The 20,654-nt window shown below is 47.2% G+C and overlaps 1 long non-coding RNA gene across 1 annotated transcript, besides 1 other annotated feature; it reads right to left on the reverse strand.

The window, feature by feature from the left end:
* Positions 2,338 to 2,632: a silencer, noted in NCBI's record as "tiled region #8859; K562 Repressive DNase unmatched - State 20:ReprD". NCBI's record gives its function as "represses a minimal TATA promoter and a strong SV40 promoter by Sharpr-MPRA in K562 cells {active_cell/tissue: K562}" and the evidence as "EXISTENCE:reporter gene assay evidence [ECO:0000049][PMID:27701403]".
* On the reverse strand, positions 11,096 to 20,542 carry LOC101928188 (uncharacterized). The gene is made up of 4 exons (NR_188555.1): positions 19,883 to 20,542; positions 17,271 to 17,394; positions 12,586 to 12,743; positions 11,096 to 12,448 (listed from the first exon to the last, which is right to left on the reverse strand). It is a non-coding gene; the product is annotated as an uncharacterized LOC101928188 (long non-coding RNA).

The raw sequence follows: 20,654 nt of genomic DNA on the forward strand, positions 1-20,654 counted from the left end.
TTAGCTCAATTTCATTAGCTAGAGTGCAATCGTTGTTTACGTTTTAAGTGAAATTTCCATGCGGTGAAATGCACAAGTCTTAGATGTACGGTTCGCTGTTTTGGCAAATGTGAGCGCCCCTCAGCACCCTCCCTGATCAAGACATGGAAACCCCAGGAAGTTCCTTCCCCGCTCTTCCCAGCCATCCGTGTCCCTCCTCCACCCCTTGAGGCAACCATTGTCCTGACTGTTTCATCAAAAATAGTTTTTTTAGTCCCAGAACTTCATATAAGCCAGAGTCAGCATTGGAAACCGCCCATCGATAGCACCACTGGGTGAGGCGTTTTTCAAGGGCTGGGTTTCAGAACCGATATGCCTTTCCTACTCCATGGATCAGGGCCCTCCAGAGATTCAGAATCATAAACACACACACACACACACACACACACACACACGCTACATATAAATGTATATAAAATATGTAAATATATAAAAATGTTATATCTAAATCCACCACATTGATAACAGATAGCATTATATCTGTAAAATCATTTCTATGTGTGTGATTTTTAGGAGTTTTCTCTTGCAACTGTAGGGGCTGGCGAGCTCACGGTGTGCGGGTGCTGGCAGGCAGGACTCTCGGGCAGAATCCATGCTGTGGTCTTCCGGTGCAATTCCCTCTTCTCTGGAAAACTGCAGGCTTATTCTTTTTTTTTTTTTGAGAGGGAAATCCCATCTGTCCTCCAGGCTGGAGTGCAGTGGTGTGATCTTGGCTCACTGTAACCTCCGCCTCCCGGGTTCAAGCGATTCTCCTGCCTCAGCCTCCCAAGTAGCTGGGATTACAAGCACCCGCCACCATGCCCGGCTAATTTTTGTATTTTTAGTAGAGATGGGGTTTCACCATGTTGGCCAGAATGGTCTTGAACTCCTGACCTCAGGTGATCCTCCCGCCTCGGCCTCTCAAAGTGCTGGGATTACAGGCGTGAGCCACCATGCCCAGCTTGCAGGTTTGTTCTTCAGGCCTGCCATTGACCAGACGGGTCCCTGCATTGCAAGAAGAATCTCCTTGACTCCGGCAGCTGGTTGCTGACACCGACCACGTCCACCTGGCACCTGCACTGCAGTGTCCAGGCTGCTGCTTGACCGCCACTGCCCCCAGCCAGCTGAGCAACACATTAGATTTCCCTCCTGCACTGGACGCCTGCAAGTTGCCACCTCCTGCCCTGGCCCTGGTTAGGAATGTGGTAGGGAGGTTTCCAAGGTTGGGGGCAGGACCCAGAGACCCAGCCCCGGAGGAAGTCCTGATTCCATCTCAGGAGCCACTCTGCTGCGTTTCCTCATCTCTCTGGTCATGGGGGCGCCCATCCCGGGCAGAGCTGCAAATGGGGGGTGGGTGTGGCCACCAAGCCCCCTCCCCTGGTTGCCGGAAGAGCAGCTGTTGTGTAACAGAGGGATTCTCTGCACCGCTCCCCAGGACAGACCACTCCTTACAGCGGATGATCTGATTAGGTTTTAATGAGAATAATGTTGGCTTCGAGGAAGGAAGAATCCAGCAGTGTTTTGATGTCAGCCAGGCGTCTTGAACACTGCCCCCCCGCCAAACATTTGGAATCTGGCACGACCTGTCATGCAGTTTGGCGGGCGGGTCCCCCTCCACCCGCTTCGCGATGAACCCCATGTGCGTTTCCAGGGAGACGTGAGCCATGTGTCCCTTATTCACTTACACTTCGTTCATCAAAACACAGTTTTGTAAGAGCTAATTGGCACCGGGGTAGCCTTTCAAATCTTCTTTATAAGCCTCTTACCATCTCTCTGGTTTTGAGCCAAGTGTTAACAGAACCTCAACTTCAAAAGACTGAAGTTTGGTCTGAAACTCAGAGTGTGGGTGTCTGAGGGGTACTGAACTTGGCCGAACATTTTCTACTGATTTTAGGCTGAGCAGAGCCAGGCTGTTGGGAAAGATGCTGGAATCCAGGCAAAGTGAACTGGTTTTTTTCCCCACATATTTTCTAGGCTGACAACGGCCTTGAGCTGGGAATTTCATGGCCTCCCTGTCACCTGCCCGCTGTGGGCCTGGGCTGGCTCATGATCTACTGATTTTAGGCTGAGCAGAGCCAGGCTGTTGGGAAAGATGCTGGAATCCAGGCAAAGTGAACTGGTTTTTTTCCCCACATATTTTCTAGGCTGACAACGGCCTTGAGCTGGGAATTCCGTGGCCTCCCTGTCACCTGCCCGCTGTGGGCCTGGGCTGGCTCATGAGTGATTGTGACCTTGTGTCGGGTCGCTCATGTGTGATTGTGATCTTGTGTGGGGTTGCTGGTGTGTGATTGTGACCTTGTGCAGGTTCCAGAGGGGTCCAGGTAACTTCTTTCTTTTTAATAGTCCCTTTTCTCTTGCCAAAGAATGGGGCTTAGATAAGTCATTTTGTCCCCATCTCCTCTCCAGAACAGTTTGTTTATCTGTCCATTCATCCACCGGCTTCTTTAATCATTTGTATTGCACACCTGCCGTTTGGCAAGCACTGGGACGAGGGCTGGGCTTTGAGGATTAGCAAATGGCACCACGGGAGGCCTTCTGCAGAGCAAACTGGGAGCTGACAGCTAAGTAGAAAAATAAGACTCTGAGGCTGGGCTTTGTGGTGGCTGTGCCTGTAATCCCAGAGCTTTCGGAAGCCAAGGCGTGAGGATCGCTTGAGCCTAGGAGTTTGAGACCAGCCTGGACAACATCGTGAGACCCCGCCTCTACAAAAAATAAGAATTAGAATCTGAAAGGGCAGGAGGGGGGCCTCCTCGTGTGTGGTAGGGAGGACGCCATCTGGAAGGATGTGGGGAGGAGGACAGGACGAACATTCACGTTGGGGGACAGAGTGTTAGGGTCCCTGGGACACCAGGGGACAGGCCGGAAGTGTGTGCAGCTGTGGGTGGGAGGGTCGGCTGTGAAGAGGGTGGGGTTGAGGACAGGGCCCAGCTCACGCATGACTGCCATGAGGCAGAGGGATGAGGTGACGTTGGTACAGGAGGATGTACCTGTTGTTGCTGAAGTCAGGTTTGCTGGGATGTAATCTATGTCAGTAAAATCCACACTTTCAATTCCTGCTCTCTGAGTTTCGGCGAATGTGTACGGTTGTGTGAACAACATGGAAACGGAGGTGCAGGATGCTCTGTCACTCCCCCAGACTCCCTTGTGCCCTGGGAGTCAGCCCCTCCCCTGCGCCAGCCCCTGGCAGCCCCCCTCTGATTTCTGTCCTGGAGGTGATTTTGCATGTTCCAGAACGTCATCGAGGTGGAGTTCTCCAGTACGCAACCTTTCACCTACCAGAGTGCGTTTGGCGATCCAGGTTGCAGCCTGTCTCCATCCTTCTTAGTCCTAAGCTGAGTCCGGGGTTTAGAGGCACCAGCTGTGGTGGTCCATCCACCTGCCGAAGGACGTTTGGGCCGATTCCGGGTCTGCCAACTGGACACAGAGCTGCTGTGAGCCTTTGTGCCCAGGTCGGCCTTTGTGCTCACATTGGCCGTCTGCCCCTCAGTCCCAGCACCCAGCCAGTGCTCCAGGAATGTTTGTAAGGGCTTTGGCGTGTGCATGTTGAACAAACCCTTCTCCAGAGCGGCCATGCCACGTTCCCACCAGCGGTGCATGAGGGTTCCCGTGGCTCCTCTGCCTCTGGCACGTGGGCCCACCAGTCTCTCTGGGGTCGGCCCTGCCAATGGGGTGCAGTGGCACCTGGCTGGGGTTTCGAGATGCATTTCCCTAGTGACTAGTGATGTTGCGTGCCTTACATGGACTTCAGCTGCTGTTTTTAGGATGCATTTATGGGGGGCATGGTGCAGGAGCACAGGCTGGAGGAGGACAGAGCACCCGAGTCCCACTTGTGGCTGCTGACTTACTGTGTGACTGTGGGTGAGTCACTTAACCTCTCTCAGCCTCACTTCCTATCACTGTGTTTCTTTTCCACCTTTATCTAAAGAGGTATATTTGACAAATGGAAATTGAATAGAGTTAAGGCATGTAATGTGAAGCTTTGGTGTGCGTATACACTGCCGAATGATTACCACAATCCAGCTAATTGTCACATCCATCGCCCTACAGTGACCTTTGTGTGTGATGAGAATGCTTAGGACCTGCTCTTCTCAAATTTCACATACGCAATCGATTATTCTGAACTAGAGTCACCAGGCTGTGCACTAGATCCCCAGGACGTATTCACTGTACAAGTGAAAGTTCTCACTCTTTGATGGACACCTCTCCATTCCCCCCCTGTTCCCAGCCCCGGCAACCACGGCTCTACTCTCTGCTTCAGTGAGTTCAACTTTTTTAGATGCCACATGTAAGTGAGATCGTGCAGTGTTTGTCTTTCTGCACCTGGCTCATTTCACGTGGCATGACGTCCTCCAGCCTCCTCCACGTCATCACAGATGACAGGACGGCCTTCTTTTTAAAGGCTGTAGCATGCTCTGTCATGTCTATACCACACCCTGCTTGTCTGCTCGTCTGCCAAGCAGCCCTTGGGATGGTTCCTTTCTTGGCTGTTGTGAGCAGGTCCGACACATCTCAATGATGTACTGATTTCCTTTCCTTTGCATAGGTACCCGTTGATGGGGTTGCAGGATCATATGGTAGTTTTATTTTTAATTTTTTGAGGAACCTGCATACTGTCCTCCCCGGAAGCTAACTGACTTTCCCCCCAACTGCGAGCAAGTGTTGCTGCTCCACACCCAGTGCCAGGGGTAGCAGGGGACAGCGGACTTCCCTGAGCTGCCGCGAAGGCCAGGGTCCAGGCACAGGAGGGGAAGTGCATCACAGTTAAACACTCACCCTAGGACAACCTCTAGGAGGTCAGCATTGTAGTAGTACAAATGTCTTTTAAATATACATTTATCTAAATTTAAGAGAGAAGCTAATTTTAAAGAAATACGTTAAATAAATAACAAGGTAGGCATTTTCCAAGGTAGGCATGATGGAGATTTGGCAAAAGTCATGAGGATGCACATGTGAGTGATGTTTGGGAATCCCTGAAATAATGCAAAGGGCCTTGGCCTGTTCTAGCCCCAGCTCCAGCCCAGGTAGCAGTGGCCCATCTGCCACCTGTTCCAGGAGCATGTTGAGAATTCGAAGTGATCACTGTCCCAGGCACTTGCCTAGGAACACCTGGAGTTGTGTGGAGCATGTTTCAGAGACTGCACCCAGGAGCTCAGTGTAAGAACTTGCTCCTGATGGTGCCAGCCCAGGCCCAGCCTGCCCTGCTGTATCTCAGAAAGCTCCTGAAGCAGGAACCCTACCTTTCTGCCAGGATGACACAAGCAAAGAATGTCAGGCTCATAATCTTGGCTTCAGATACACACACATAAAAATAATCACATTCTTAAGTCCTATGATCAGGTACTGTGTCTCCATGATCTCCAATGAATAGTCCCAAATGTTAGCTTATGAAAAATGCACAGACTCTGTGGTTAAATACGGACATTGTAGAGAGTTTATAAACAGGTGGAAGACCCATCGCTGGGTTACCCTGGGGAGAAACGGTCTTTATCCTGAGATCATGTCCTTCCTGCTGTGTGATGGAATGACAGTGACAGTAGAGGGTGATGTATTTGTTGGGGTTAGTCTTTAAAATGTGGGAATAAAAAATGATTTTGTTAAAAAAACTCAAAATTTTACTGCTATTTGGACATCTGGTTCTGACTAATATGGGGTAACAGGAACGGGGATTTACCCTCCTGCTGCTGTAAACTACTAGAAAACTGGATGAAGTGTTCAGAGCATCATGTTCAGACATTGGACAACAGATAGCTCAAGACTGTGATCCCTGTGAGAAAGGACACAAGTGTCCCATGGAGGTGCCAGCTCACTGCCATGAGGGGAGAGGAGATCAAGGTGACCATCTTGCTGAGTAGAGGAGATAGAAACGAGTTCAGGGAGGACAAATAGCAAGAACCAGAGGGCAGAGTACTGGAGAGGAAAGCACTGCCCAAAGAGAGCGCCAGAGGTCTGCAGAGAGGGCCCCTGGGGTTTTGGCTAAGCGTTGATCTGTGTGTGCATGTGAAGAAACAGCTGAAGGCTGGGGAAACACCCACCTGAAAGGAGCAGGCAGAACAATACTTGGAGCTCACACAGGGTGGGGGACAGGGTGGGGGACAGTTTATGTTCCCACCAGCCAGAATGGGAAGACTTTATAATATGAGAATCCTCAGAAGGGTGTTGCCTGAGAAATGGTGGTAAATTAGCCATAGCCTAAGGCTGTTTTGGACCCACCCTGACAACATTTAAAAGCAAGTCTCAGAAAGATCGAACTGATTCCAAATAACTTCATTGCACATAAAGTCCAACGCTATTCAAAGGAGTACAACAAAAGCCAGAAATCAACAATGAATTTTCACGATGTCTGGCATTTGGTCAAAAATAAGAAGATATGCAAAAAATTAAGATCCATAATTGGAGGTGGGAGTGGGGGTGGGAATCAATCATAAGTGACAGATGATGGAATTCACAGACAAGGATGCTAATCAGCTATTAAAAATGTTTTCCATGTGTTCAAGAAGGAGGAAGAAAACAGGGTCATGTAAGGAGAGAAATTAAGCATATAAAAGGTCACAAGCGAAGCTTTTAGAGATAGAAATTTAATACCTGAAATGAAAAATACACTGGATGGGATTCACAGAATAGAGGAAAAGATCATTGAGTCTGAAGCTAGAGAAACTATAGCTATAGCTATAGAAACTGTTCGAATCAAAGCAGAGAAAAAAGTCTTAAAAAACAAAAACAAAAACAGGATACTGGTGACCTGTGGGATAATATCAAAGCATCGTGTCTGTGTGTAAGTGGAGATCTAGAAAGAGAAGAGAGGCAGGGACAGAAAAATGTTTTGAAGAAATAATGGCCAAACGTTTTTTGAATTTGTTGGAAAGTATAAACCCACAGATCTAAGAAGCTTGATAGATCCCATGTAGAATAAATACCAAAAGAGCCACATCAAGGCATGTTATAAACAAATTTCTGAAAGCCAGTGATAAAGAGAAATCTTAGAAGCAGCCAGATAAGAAAAAACATATTATGTATAGAGGAAGAAAATATGAGAGACAGCAGATCTCTTGACAGAAACCATGCAAGCTAGAAGGACATGGGAAGACATCTGTAATATGCTAAGGAGGCAGTAGGTGGGGAGAACCTGCCAAGAATGATTTTTTTAACTCAGTAAAAATATCATTCAAAATTGGAGATAATGACTATTTTATACAAATAAAAACTGATGGAATTCATTGTCAGCAAATCTGTTCTACAAGAAATGTTAAAGGCTTCCTTCAACATTTCTTTATTTTTCTTCTTTCAGCAGAAGAAAAATAATTCCAGATGGAAATTTAGAGTGACACAAATCAGTGAAGAGTAATTACAGAGATAAATGCAAAAGATAGATAAATGCATTTTCCTCAATCATTCACTGTTTAAAACAATTTATTTTGGGGTTTATAGTATATGTGGAAGTAAAATGTATGACAATAATAGCACAAAGAATGAGGGTTGGGGGAATGGAAGTGCACCACTCAGTGATTCCTACCCTCTGTGAAGTGGAACAATATCATTTGAAAGTAGACTGTGATAAGTTAAAATACATATTATAAACTCTAGAACATTCAATAAAAATTAAAAATTAAGGGATAGCTAATAATTCAATAGTAGGATAAAAGAGAATCATTAAAAATAAGACCCTCGATTAATCTAAAAGAAGGCATGAAAGAAGAAAAGAAGAAAGAAAGAACAGATGGGGGAAAATAGAAAACAAATAGCAAGAAGATAAATTTAAATCAAACATAATCAATAATTACATTAAATGTAAATTATCTAACCTCCAAATTATGAACAACAATTGTAAGATACAGTAAAGAAGGAAGACCGAAGTATATGTTGCCTACAAGAAATGCAATTTAAATATGAAGCACAAGTAGGTTAAAAGTAAGAGGGTAGAAAAAAGATATATCATGCTAACACTAATCAATAGAAAGATAGAGTGGCTCTATTAATGGCAAACAAAAGAGATTTGCTAGCAAAGCATATTAGTGGAGATAAAGACAGTTATTTCATAATGATCAAGTTGTCAGTTCATGAAGGGGACACAAAATCCTAAATATGTACATTCTTAAATACAACTTAACTTACATGAAGCAAAACTTGATAGAACTGAACAGAAAAATAGAGAAATTCAAAATTATAGCTGGAGGCTTCAGTACCCCTGTATCAGTTCAGTCAGAGTGTAACCAGAGGAGCAGAATTTGTCTGTCGTCTGTCTGTCTGTCTATCTATCTATCTATCTATCTATCTATCTATCTATCTATCTATCATCTATCTGTAGTTGATCCTTGAACAACATGGGTTTGAACTGCAGGGTCCACTTATAGGTGGATTTCCTCCCACCTCTTCCAGCCCTGATACAGCAAGATTAGTCCCCTCTTCTTCCTCCTCTGCCTCAGCCTACCCAATGTGAAGATAATGAGGATGATGACCTTTACAATGATCTACTTCCACTTTACCAATAGTAAATATATTTCCTCTTCCTTATGGTTATAATATTTTTCTCTAGCTTTATTGTAAGAATACAGTATATAATACACATACAAAATATGTATTAATAACTATTTCTGTTATTGGTAAGGCTACTGGTCAACAGTAGGGTATTCGTAGTTAAGTTTCTGGGGAGTCAAAAGTTATTTGCAGATTTCTAATTGTGCAAAGGTTGGCACCACAACCTCTGCATTATTCTAGGGTCAACCGTGTGTGTGTGTGTGTGTGTGTGTGTGTGTGTAAATGAAATTGGCTAATGTAATTGTGAGGGCTGTCTGCAAGTGTGAACATGGGCTGACATGACACAGACACAAGCTGGAGCTGTTGTTCATAGGAGAAATTTCTTCTTTCCTTTGGGAAAGGCTTACTGAGCTTTTAAGATCTTCTGACTGATTAAGTCAGGCCCTGCCAGGATAATCTCCCCTACTTAACATGGACTGATTATAGACTTTAGTGACACCTGCAAAATCCCTGCACAGTAGCACCTAGAATAGATTTAGATTGGGTAACTGGGACTGTAACCTCACCAACAGACACATCAGAAAGTCATCACAGCCCTCTCTCAACAACTGATAGAATAAGCAGACAGAAAGTCAGTAACATATGGAAGACTTGAAGAACGTTACCAATCAGCTTTCCTTAATTGGCACTTACAGAAAATTCCCTCTAACCACAAAATAAACATGGAACATTCATCAAAGTGGACTATATTCTGGGCCATGAAATAGATACCACTAAATTTAAGAAGATTAAAATCATACAATATATGTTTTCTGACCACAAGAGGATTAATTTAACTAGATATCAGTAACAGAAAGATGTCTGGAGACTACCTAAATATTTGAAATTAAAGAACACACTTCTAAATAACTCATGTTTCAAAGAAGAAATCACTAAGAAAATTAGAAAATATTTGGAACTGCATGAAAACGGAAATGCAATCCATCACACTGTATAGAGTTCAGTTAAAGCCGCACTTCAGAGGGAAATGTATAGCATTCAATGCTTATGTTAGAAGAGAAAAAAGGTCCCAAATCAGTTATCACCTTGAGAAACTAGAGAAAGAAGAGCAAATTAAACTCAACCACCCAGAAAGGAGAAGAGAAAAAAAGGAAGAATCAGTAAAACAGAAACAGAGGAAATCCGTTTCACTGGTCCTTTTAATTCTGGAGTTGGAGGACACTGCCCTGATCTCTATGATGATCTAGGAATTATCCTACCTTAATCTGTATGATTATCCTTCCTAAGTCATAGACGACAAATAGGCTCAGAAACACCAGGTGGCTAGTGTGTGGTGAAGCTGACTCAAACCAGGCCCTCTTGCTTGTAGAAGTTCCCACCTGCCTCCTGCCACCCCAGGGCTACTCCACTCCCAGAGGGCTGGGGGGTCTCAGCCTGATGGCCTGAGGACGTCTGGCACCCTGCACCCACCGAAGCTCATAAAATGCTTCCATTAGATGGGGATCCTGAGTTATTAGTACCAGACTGCACGGAGCTCACAAGTTCCAGCCTTCTGTCCATCATCACGCAGGGCCTCCTGCTCTCCACCCTGGGATGCTTTTGTCTTGGGAGATGCCAGAGTGAGCTGACATCACTGGCGCTGCTCCTTGAGGCCATCCACCCAGAGATGTGCAGTGCAGAGAACATGATGGATTGGACCTGGGCCTGGGGGAGCTGGCTGGGACACCCGTGTGCTTTCCATCAACATTTCAGAGGCGTCAAAGAAGGAGATTTGTTCTGCAGTGCCAAGGAGCTTGGCCAGGCCATGCCTCCAGCCCCTGCCAGGAGCTTCTCCACTAGGGCGTTGGATAGCAGAGAGGCAATGGCGGCCTCCACACACCACCCTCTCTCCCATGAAATTAAAGAGCTGCTACAAGAAGTCTCAATCTTGAAACTCAAAGAAATATGAAAAAAAAATGAAGGTGGGGAAGTTGTTATCATGATGACCATGTGTTTGTCCTTGGCAGGTTGCTAAGCTGCCTGCGGTGGGTCGGCCCGTGGCCTGCCGGCCCACATACAGCCCCAGCCTCTGCCACAACCCCCAACGCCCAGCGCAGCTTCTGGCTCACTCATCTGCTTTGCAGTAAGTTTGGGTCAAAAGAGGCCTTGAGAGGAGAGACAACCCAACCAGAACAGATGCAGCACGGAACACGTACGGGGTCGTAAATGCAGAAACGACAGATTCTTCCATCCCACCTTGAAAGTTTTGGCAAGGCGGGGCGTAGCTCGTGTGTCTGTGGCCGGTCGCAGGGAAGCCTCATCCGGGAATGGGATGGGCTTTTCCCAGGTCATAGAAACCTCGAGGCAAAGGAGAAGGCACCTGTGCACGTCTCTGGTGACTGACAGGTGATAATGTTTGACTGACAGGTGATAATGTTTGTTTGACTGGAGCAGAAACATTTCTGGACTAATTCACCCCTTCGCTCATCTGGATAGAAAAAGAGGGGCATGCCGGGCAGGGAGAGAGTGAGAACATAGAAGCAGATCAAGGGGACCCGAGCTGAACTCATGTGCCAAACTATACACACCGTGGGCCTGACTTTCACTACACAAATGCAAGGTTGAATTAGGCACAGCAAATTCAAATGCTATTTATTGAAGGCTGGAGGTGTCCAGGCTCTTGCAGCTTGTGGAATGGTCCCCTCTTCCCCACCCTGCTCCCCACTCTCCCAGTCCTCACCCCCCACTGGCAAATGAACTTGCGTTTCCTTCCATGCAAGTCCATTGAAATCAGGATATTAGTTATATTTGAAGCGACATATTCTAAAGTTACTCGGAAAGAAAAAGGTATCAGTTTTCCATCAAGGCACTTCCCATCTCACACGTGGTCCTGGCGATGTGCCCCTGACACCGAAACCAGCAGACCCTGCCTGTGGCTCCCCGGCCAAGATCAGGCACAGCCAAGGCTTGGCTTGGCTTTTCTGTTGCATCAGAGTGAAACTCGCTCACCAGATTCCTCCTGCATTTAAACCGGGCCTCGTACTTTTATTTTTTTATCTTTTTGAGGCAGGGTCTCACTCTGTTGCCCAGGCTGGAGTGCAATGGCGCAATCTCGGCTCACTGCAACCTCCACCTCCCGGGTTCAAGTGCTCCCCCTGCCTCAGCCTCCCGAGTAGCTGGATCTACAAGCATGCACCACCACACCTGGCTAATTTTTTTTGTATTTTTAATAGAGACGGGATTTCACCATGTTGGTCAGGCTGGTCTTGAGCTCCTGACCTCAGGTGATCCACCCACCTCAGTCTCCCAAAGTGCTGGGATTAAAGGTGTGAGCCACTGCACCCGGCCGGCCTTGTACTTTTGAGGCGGTGTTGACTCTTGCAATCCATAGCTTTGAGAGCTCCCCATCCGAATCTCAGGCACACTTGACTTTTTCACTCTCGTAGGAGTGATCTCCTTAGTCCATCGATCAAACTGCTGAGAGCAGGCCATGGCCTGCCTGCTGTCATGGCCCGTGAAGCAGAATTGGAGATGAGAGGGGAGGACCTGGGCTGGAGAGTGGGCAGGAGGAGATCCTGCAAACAGGGAACTGAGAGAGGGGAGGGAGGAGGAGGGTTTGAGAGTGGGGAGGGGAGCTGGGGGTGCTCCCTGAAGACCAGGAGGAGAGGAAGGAGGGGAGCTGCAGGCTATGAACGGGGCTGCAGGTTATGAATGGGGCACTCCGGCGTTCTGAGAACTGAGCACTCCGACATTCTGAGAACTGGGCACAGGGGCACCAGGCCCTAAGTGAGTTCTGCTCCGGGGTGGCCGGGCCCGAGAGCACTGACGTCCAACGGGAGTGTCGCTGCCCACCGCCTCCCACAAGAGGACACTTCGATTTGCCAGAGAAGGGCAGAGTGGGAGATGACTTTTTCTCAGCATCTTGCCTCATTTTCCTCTTCCCAGAGGTTTGTTTTTAAGGAAGTTTAAGCTTGCTGCACTGGAAAAGCAAAAAACAATATTTTGTAAAATAAATATTTGTTTTGTGCAGACTTAGGCCTTTCCACATATTGGTTTTTCTTGAAGAGGAGACACAACCACAGCAGGGGTGAGGAGAAGAGAGATGCAGTCACTCACTCATTCAGGAATAATCTTTGAGTTGAAACTGCAGTCTGCTCTTGGCCAAAGGTAGGGTGCTGACCACCTTCACCTGGAGGCCGCCTTCACCTGGAGGCCGCCCACCACCTTCACCTGGAGGCTGCCCTTGCTCTTTCAGGATCCTCTTTCATGGGTTTCTGCAGAGCCACGGGGTCAGAGCACATATGTGGGCCATGAGGACTTTTCCTTTGCACCCCAACACATCTCTACCCGTCCTCCCTGCACCCCCAACCCGAAGACGGGCGTGTGATCCTGTGGGTGGGTGCATGGTCCGTGTGTGTAATTTTGTCCGGAGCAGTAATTCTCGGAGTGGGCCCCAGACCCGCAGTGTAAGCATTGCCTGGTGCTGTGGTTTGGACGTGTGTCCCCTCCACATCTCATGTTGAAATGTATCCCCAGTGTTGGAGTGAGGCCTACGGACAGGGGTTTGGGTCAAGGGTCAGATCCCTCAGGAATGGCTTCCTGCCGACCCCACCTGCCAGTCATGAGCGGGCCCTTGCTCAATTAGTTCCTGCGTGAGCCAGGTGTTAAAAGAGCGTGGCCCCTCCCTCCCTTTGGCTTCCTCTCCCACTGTGCCCTCTGCACACATGGCTCCCCTTCACCCTCCACCCTAAGTGGGAGCAGGCTGAGGCCCCACCAGAAGCAGATTCTGTTGCCAGGCTTCTTGTACAGCCTGCAGAACTGTGAGCCAAAGAGACCACTTTTCTTTAGAAGTTGCCCGGCCCCAGGTGTCCCTTGATAGCCACACAAATGTTCACCTGTGAACTTGCTATAAATTCAGATTCTCAGGCCCCACCCAGACCTGCTGAGTCAGAAACTCCAGCAGGGGCCTGGAAGTCTGCCTTTTACCAGGAACCTGTGTGATTCCCATACAGAGTTTGAGAACCTCTGGTCTCTGGAACTGCATGCTTTAAATGGGTGCATTTTACGTATGTGGATTATATCTTTAAAAAGATATCCAAAGACAAACAAAAAGATAATTGACTACCTGAAGCAAAGACGGGAAAAGTGTATTGTGGGGTTTGTAACATGCAGAAGCAAATCTGTGGTAACAACAGTACCAAGGATGGGAGGCAGGAAGTACAGGCGCTGCTGTCAGGTTACTACATGTATGTGAAGTGGTAGAATATTGTGTAATGGCAGACTGAGAAGCTACAGCTGTAACTTTATCATAAGCCCTATTGCAACCATGAATAGCTACACTAAGAGGTATAACAAGGCAATAGTGAAGATGAAATGAAATAATAAAAAAATACTCAGCAGCCCTGCCTATGGAGTAGCCATTCTTTTATTCCTTTACTTTCTTAATAAATTGGCTTTCACTTTAAAAAAAGTTCTTGATCCAATAGAAGGAAGAAAAAAGGAAAAATTATTTAAAAAGAACAGATGAGACAATACAAAATAAGTGTCAAGGTGGTAGATTTAAATTCAACTTCCCAATAAAAATATCCAGATTTTTAGGTTGGGTAGATATAAAAACAAGATCCAACTCTATGCTGTCTACAAAAGAAAAAAAATAACATAAAAACATAAGTGGATTGAAGGTAAGGGACAGAAATAGTTATATTCTGAACTATTAAAAGAAAGCTGGGGCAGAGATGTTAGTATCAGATAAAATAGACGTCCGAACAAGGAATATTACCAGAGATGAATAGATACATTATATGATCCTGAAAGTGCCATTCTGGCCAGGCACGGTGGCTCACACCTGTAATCCCAGCACTTTGGGAGGCCGAGGTGGGCGGATCACCTGAGGTCAGGAGTTCGAGACCACCCTGGCCAACATGGTGAAACCCTATCTCTACTAAAAATATAAAAAAATTAGCCGGGCGTGGTAGTGGGTGTCTGTAATCCCAGCTACTCAGAAGGCTGAAGCAGGAGAATTGCTTGAACCCAGGAGATGGAAGTTGCAGTGAGCCAACATGGTCCCACTGCACTCCAGCCTGGGTGACAGAGTGAGACTCTGTCTCAAAAAATAAACAAACAAACAAACAAAGTGCCATTCTGTAGGAAAATATAGCAGTTGTAAATATGCTTGCACCTAACAGCAGAATTTCAAAACACATGGATCACAAAGTAAAGAAGAAATAGAAAAATCCCTGAGTATCGTTGGAAACTTCAATACTCCTCCAATACTCCTCTCTGTAAGCTATAGAACAAGTAGACAGGAAACCAGTAAGGATATAGAACCCTGAATCACAATATCATCCAAATTGATTGATTTGACATTTATTAAGCAATACTTTCAATATTAGCAGAATATACACTTTTTTTTTTTTTTTGAGACGCAGTCTCGCTGTCGCCCAGGCTGGAGTGCAGTGGCACGATTTCAGCTCACTGCAAGCTCTGCCTCCCAGCTTCAAGCAATTCTCCTGCCTCAGCCTCCCGAATAGCTGGGACTACAGGTGCCCGCCACCACGCCTGGCTAATTTTTTGTATTTTCAATAGAGACGGGGTTTCACTGTGTTGGCTAGGGTGGTCTTGATCTCCTGACCTCGTGATCCACCCGCCTCGGCCTCCCAAAGTGTTTGGATGACAGGCGTGAGCCACCACTCCTGGCCAGAATACACACTTTTGTACAAATGCACATGGAGCATTCACCAAGATAGACCATATTCCAGGCCATAAAACAGATCTCAACAAATTTTAAAAAGTGAAGTTATGTGAAATATGTGGCCACAACAGAATTAAGCCAGAAATTAATAGTATGTCTCTTCAAATATTTGGAAGTTAAAGAACATATTTTAAAATGACTCATAGATCAAAAAATCCAAAGAGAAATTAGAAAAAAAAATTAATTGAGCAAAAAAGAAAATACATATGACAATTTGTAGGTGCTGGCAAGGCAGTGCTTGGAAGAACATTTATAGCATTAAATGTATATATGTGAAAAGAAGAAAGTTCTCCAATCAGTAATCTAAGCTTCTACCCTTAAAAGCCTAGAAAAGGAAGAGCACAATAAATTCGAAGTAAGGAAAAGAAAGAATATGATAATGATCAAAGCAGAAAGACTGGAAACAAAGTCAGAATGTCACTCTCATCACTCTTATTAACACTGTGCTAGAGGTTCTAGCCACTGAAATAAAGCCAGGAAAAGAAGTGAAAGGCATGCAGATTGGAAATAAGACATAAAATTGCCTTTATATGCACTCAACATGATCATCTATGTAGAAAATCCTAAACAATCTACCAGCAAATGTGTAAGAGCTTATACATTTAGCAAAGTTGCTGGACATAAGGTTAATGTATGAAAACCAATTGTATTTCCGTATACTAGCAGTGGACAATAGGAAATTGAATTTAAAAACAATATTCACCATAACATCACAAACATGAAATACTTAATGATAAATCTTACAAAATATGTGCAAAATTTGTTTACTTAAAACTATAAGATGTTGATGAGAAAAAATACAAGAAGACCTAAATAAATGGAGAGATGTACCATGTTCATGGATTTGAGGACTCAGTATTGTTAAGATGTAAATCCCTGCAAACTGAGCTATAGATCCAATGGAATCACAATCAAAGTCTCATCAGCCTTTTTTTTTTTCTTTTAGAAACTGCAAGCTAATTCTAAACTTATATGAAAATGAAAAGGCACTTAAATAACTCACACAACTTTGAAAGAGAAAATCTTCCAAATCTTCTTTGGAAGATTCACACTTGATTTTTGCAAGAGGTACAATAATGCCACTGTAATCAAAACAGTGTGATATTGTCATAAGGACAAACAAGTCGGTCAACAGAACAAAATAGAGTCTTGGAAATAAACGCATGTATATATGGTCAATAGATCTTTTTCAACAAAGTGCCCACATAACTTGTTGGGATAAAGATACTCTTTCCAACAAATGGTTCTGGAATAGCTGGACATAAGTCTCCAAAAACAGAGAGAAATGAATCTCAACTTATACCTTACATTAAATACAAAATCTAAATCACAATGGTTGTAGACCTAAAGGTAAAATTTAAAACCGTAAAACATCTAGAAGAAAACAAAAAACTGCTTTGTGAGAATTTGATAGTCAAAGATTCTTAGATAGGATACAAAAACATAACCCTAAAAGAAAAAACTGACAAGCTGAACTTTATCCAAATCAAAAGCCTCTGCTCTTTAAAGACATACTTAAGAAAACGAAGAGACAAACCACAGACTAGAAGAAAGTATTTACAAAACACATTTCTGATAGAGGACTTGTACCCACAATATTTAACTCTTAGAACTCAATACTAAGAAGACAAATATAATCCACTAAAAAGTAGGTAAAAGATTTGAAATAACACATGAAATAATACCTAAGATGTTTAATAAGATGTTTAACATCACTAGTCATGAGGGAAATTAACATTTAAAGCATTATGAATCACCACTGCCAGGTGCTGATGAAAATGCAGCGCGCCTGGAGTCGCGGGCGTTGCTGGCGGGGGTGGAAAACGGGGCTGCCATTTGGAAGACAGTTGAGCTGATGAGTTGAACGTACCCTTAACATAGGCTCCAGCAATCCCACTCTCAAAAGAAATGAAACTGCACGTCCCCACCAAACCTGCACGCAAACGTCTGAAGTGGCTTCACTCACAACAGCCCACATGCCCATCCACAGGTGAACCCGTGAGCAACTGTGGTACCTCCACCTGTCCCACAACCTACAACTCAGCAGTACCAAGGGCTGGACGCTGGTGCCACCACACGGGTCCCGCGAAGCCTGCTGCGAAGTGAAGGAAGCCAGACACAAAAGTCTCCATCCTGCGGGAGTCACTCACAGGACAATTCTGGAGGACGCAAAGCTGTAGGAGCGAGGAGAGACAGGTGGTGGTTGGGGGCCGGGAAGGGGCCTGACTGCAGAGGGGCAAAATGTGGGCTGCCTCTGTCGGGGCAGAAGTGCCCCACTCTAGACCCTTACCAAGTCGTCGGCTGTACATCGAAAACGGGTGAGCCTTATGTGTGTACGTGATACCGCAATAAACCTGACTTGTAAAAGCAGCATGTGAGGTCATTAGCCCAGGACCCGGCCACAGGAGGGGGCGCACGGTGAAAAGGAGACCCTGCTGGGCCCACCTTGCCCGGTGGGTGGGACAGGGAAGAGTCCCTGGAGAAGGCGGCCCATGGGCTTGGGGGAGGGAGGTCCTCTAGGGAGTGGGGAGAGCCACTCCCGTCTTCCTGGGGCTCTTCCTTGCCACCCCAGCCCTTTCCCAGCTTTCTGTTCCTACCGGGAAGGAGGAACGCAGAGGTGCCGGAGTCTCCGGCACTTTGAGGCGGGCAGAAGTGGAAGCTTGAAGTGGGCATAGATTTGCCCCTCCCCTGCCCGGGCTGGGATCTGCACTGTGGCCCCCGTGTAAACAGACGAGACGACCCTCACATCCCAGGGAGAGCCTCACGTGGCTGGGACTGATTCTAGAGCCCCTAACTCAGCTCCGTGCTAGGGAAGACCGATCACCACAGGCTGAATTCCGGGGTCACGGCAGCGTGGCACCCAGCCTGGCAGTGTGGGGAGTGGGGCCACCAGAGCCTCCAGGGACAGGAGGGCACAGCAGTACAGCCCCTGCTAACCTTGGCAAGCAGGAGGGCGCCGTGATTAAACGTATGATTTCTGCCACCTCCAAAGCCGCAGCCAATGAGAAGGCTATTTTAGCAAAACTGGAAAGAAAAATGCAATTTTTCTTGGCCACATCGTCTTCGTTTCCTCTGCTCCTGGCGTTCGGTTTGTTTGTCTCTTCTCACTACTGAGAGGCAGTTTTGCCAGCCTGTGCCTCCCGCCGGCTGTGGCTCGAGGTGTGGACGCCCGCGCCACCTTCCCGTTCCCGTTTCAGGGGGGAAGCTGCAGAGTTCTGGAGCTGTGAGTAGCACCGCTGTCACCGCAAAGCAGAACCCCCAGTGATTAGGGACGCTCCACGGACTTCACGGCTGCGCGGCCGGCATCACGGGCTGCTGTTGCTCCAGCGTGTTGGGACGTGCGAGAGGCATTTACGACCTCAGCGACACATTCCCTCAACCTCATCACGCTGCAAGTGCTGCCAGGGTGTGTTCAGGGGACACTCCCTCTCGGGCTGGCTTGTGCGGGGACACGTGCGTGCACACAGACACGGACTCACATAAATGCAATCCACATGCACTCACAATAGGCTCTTATGCACAGACCCTCACACTCATGTGAACACACTCATGCACACGCAAGACTTACATATTCACACTCACACCCGTGGGCACACCCAGACATGGATACACACTCATACAGGCACACACGTATCCAGACACCCACGCACAGACACACTCACACCCACGGGCACACCTAGACATGGATACACACACAGGTAGTCACAAGCACTCACATATCCAGACACCCATGCGCACACTCACACTCACAGGCACACCCAGACATGGATACACAGGCACACACATATTGGGACACCCACGCATAGACACATTCACACACGGGCACACCCAGACTGATGCACACGAACACAGACATGCACTAGTATAGCCAGACACCCAGGCACACTCAAACTCTCACAGTCACACATTCACATACACTCACATGAATACAGTGCATGCACACACAAACACATACCTATACACTTGTGTGTGCAGAGAACACACACTCACACATTTGCACTTATACTCACATGAATACAATAGAAACACATGCATACACACTTGTGTGCCCAGACCCACACACACATTTGCACACTCACATGACTATAATACATGCACACATGCATACATACATGTGACCAGACCCACACCCACTCACATTCGCACTCACACACACGTGAATATAGTACTCGCACACACACGCATACACATGTGCCCAGACCTACAGACACACATTTGCACACTCACACACGTGAATATAGTATATGCACACACTCATGTGCCCAGACCCACAGACACATTCGCACACTCACACACGTGAATATAGTACATGCACACACACGCATACACACTCGTGTGCCCAGACCCACAGACACACACATTCGCACACTCACACATGCGAATATAGTACTCGCACACACACGCATACACGTGCCCAGACCTACAGACACACTCGCATTTGCACACTCACACGTGAATGTAGTATATGCACACACACACTCATGTGCCCAGACCCACAGACACACACATTCACACCCTCACACATGTGAATATACATGCACACACACGCATACACACTCGTGCCCAGACACACACACACTCTCACAGATTCGCACACTCAGAGTGCCCCTCTCCCACTCACAGGCCTTGTCCTGGGGACGAGTCAAGCCGTCAGGTACCTACACTCTGAGCTCCCGGATCACTGGGCCGACACCGGAGGCTGCTGCTGTTCCTGGTCCGTCTTACTGTGGAGTGTATTAGACTGCGGGGGCGTCCACAAGGGGGGTGTGGGTGGGCCCGGAGACCTTTCTTCCGGGAGGCCAAGTTTCCAAACCCAGTCCTTCACGTTCAAGGATGCCCTCTCCCTGCAGGATCCTGGACTTGTCATGGGGTCTGGATTAGGTTATGCTAATGGCATCCACACTTGGCCTTTCCCCTCTTTCCTTATAAATCAGCCAACATTGGGAGGCCATGGGCTTCGCCAGAAGCCTCTGGAGACAGAGCTGCTCCTTTCCAGCAGGCCAGGCTGACCGGGGAGGCTGCAGCCCCATCGTGTGCTGGGGGAAGGTGAGCCAGGCTCCCATCACGTGCCGGGAGCTGATCTTGGCAGGTCGCGTCCTCCCGAAGCCTGCACTTCAGCCCCAGGGTTTTCCGACCGCCTCTGCTCCCAGAGGGGACCCTCAGGGGCGAAGAGGCCGAAGACAGCACCGAGACCTCAGTGTCGGGCGCGGGTGCTCCCAAAGCGCAGCGGGCCCACCTCCCCCGGCAGAGGATCGTGCGGCAGTCAAAGTCGCACACGGGGCTTCTGAGATGTGCGGCCCGGGCCTAAGAGCTGCATGTGTTGAAGCCGCTCCGGGTTGGAAAATGTATGTAAAGTAAAATAAACACGGCTCTCGCTGGGAGGGCTCCGGCATCCAGGGTTCTGGCGGAGCGGGGGGATGCGGTCAGCCAAAGC

The sequence above is a fragment of the Homo sapiens genome, chromosome 16 (assembly GCF_000001405.40).
Source record: "Homo sapiens chromosome 16, GRCh38.p14 Primary Assembly".
In the NCBI taxonomy this organism is placed as follows: domain Eukaryota; kingdom Metazoa; phylum Chordata; class Mammalia; order Primates; family Hominidae; genus Homo; species Homo sapiens.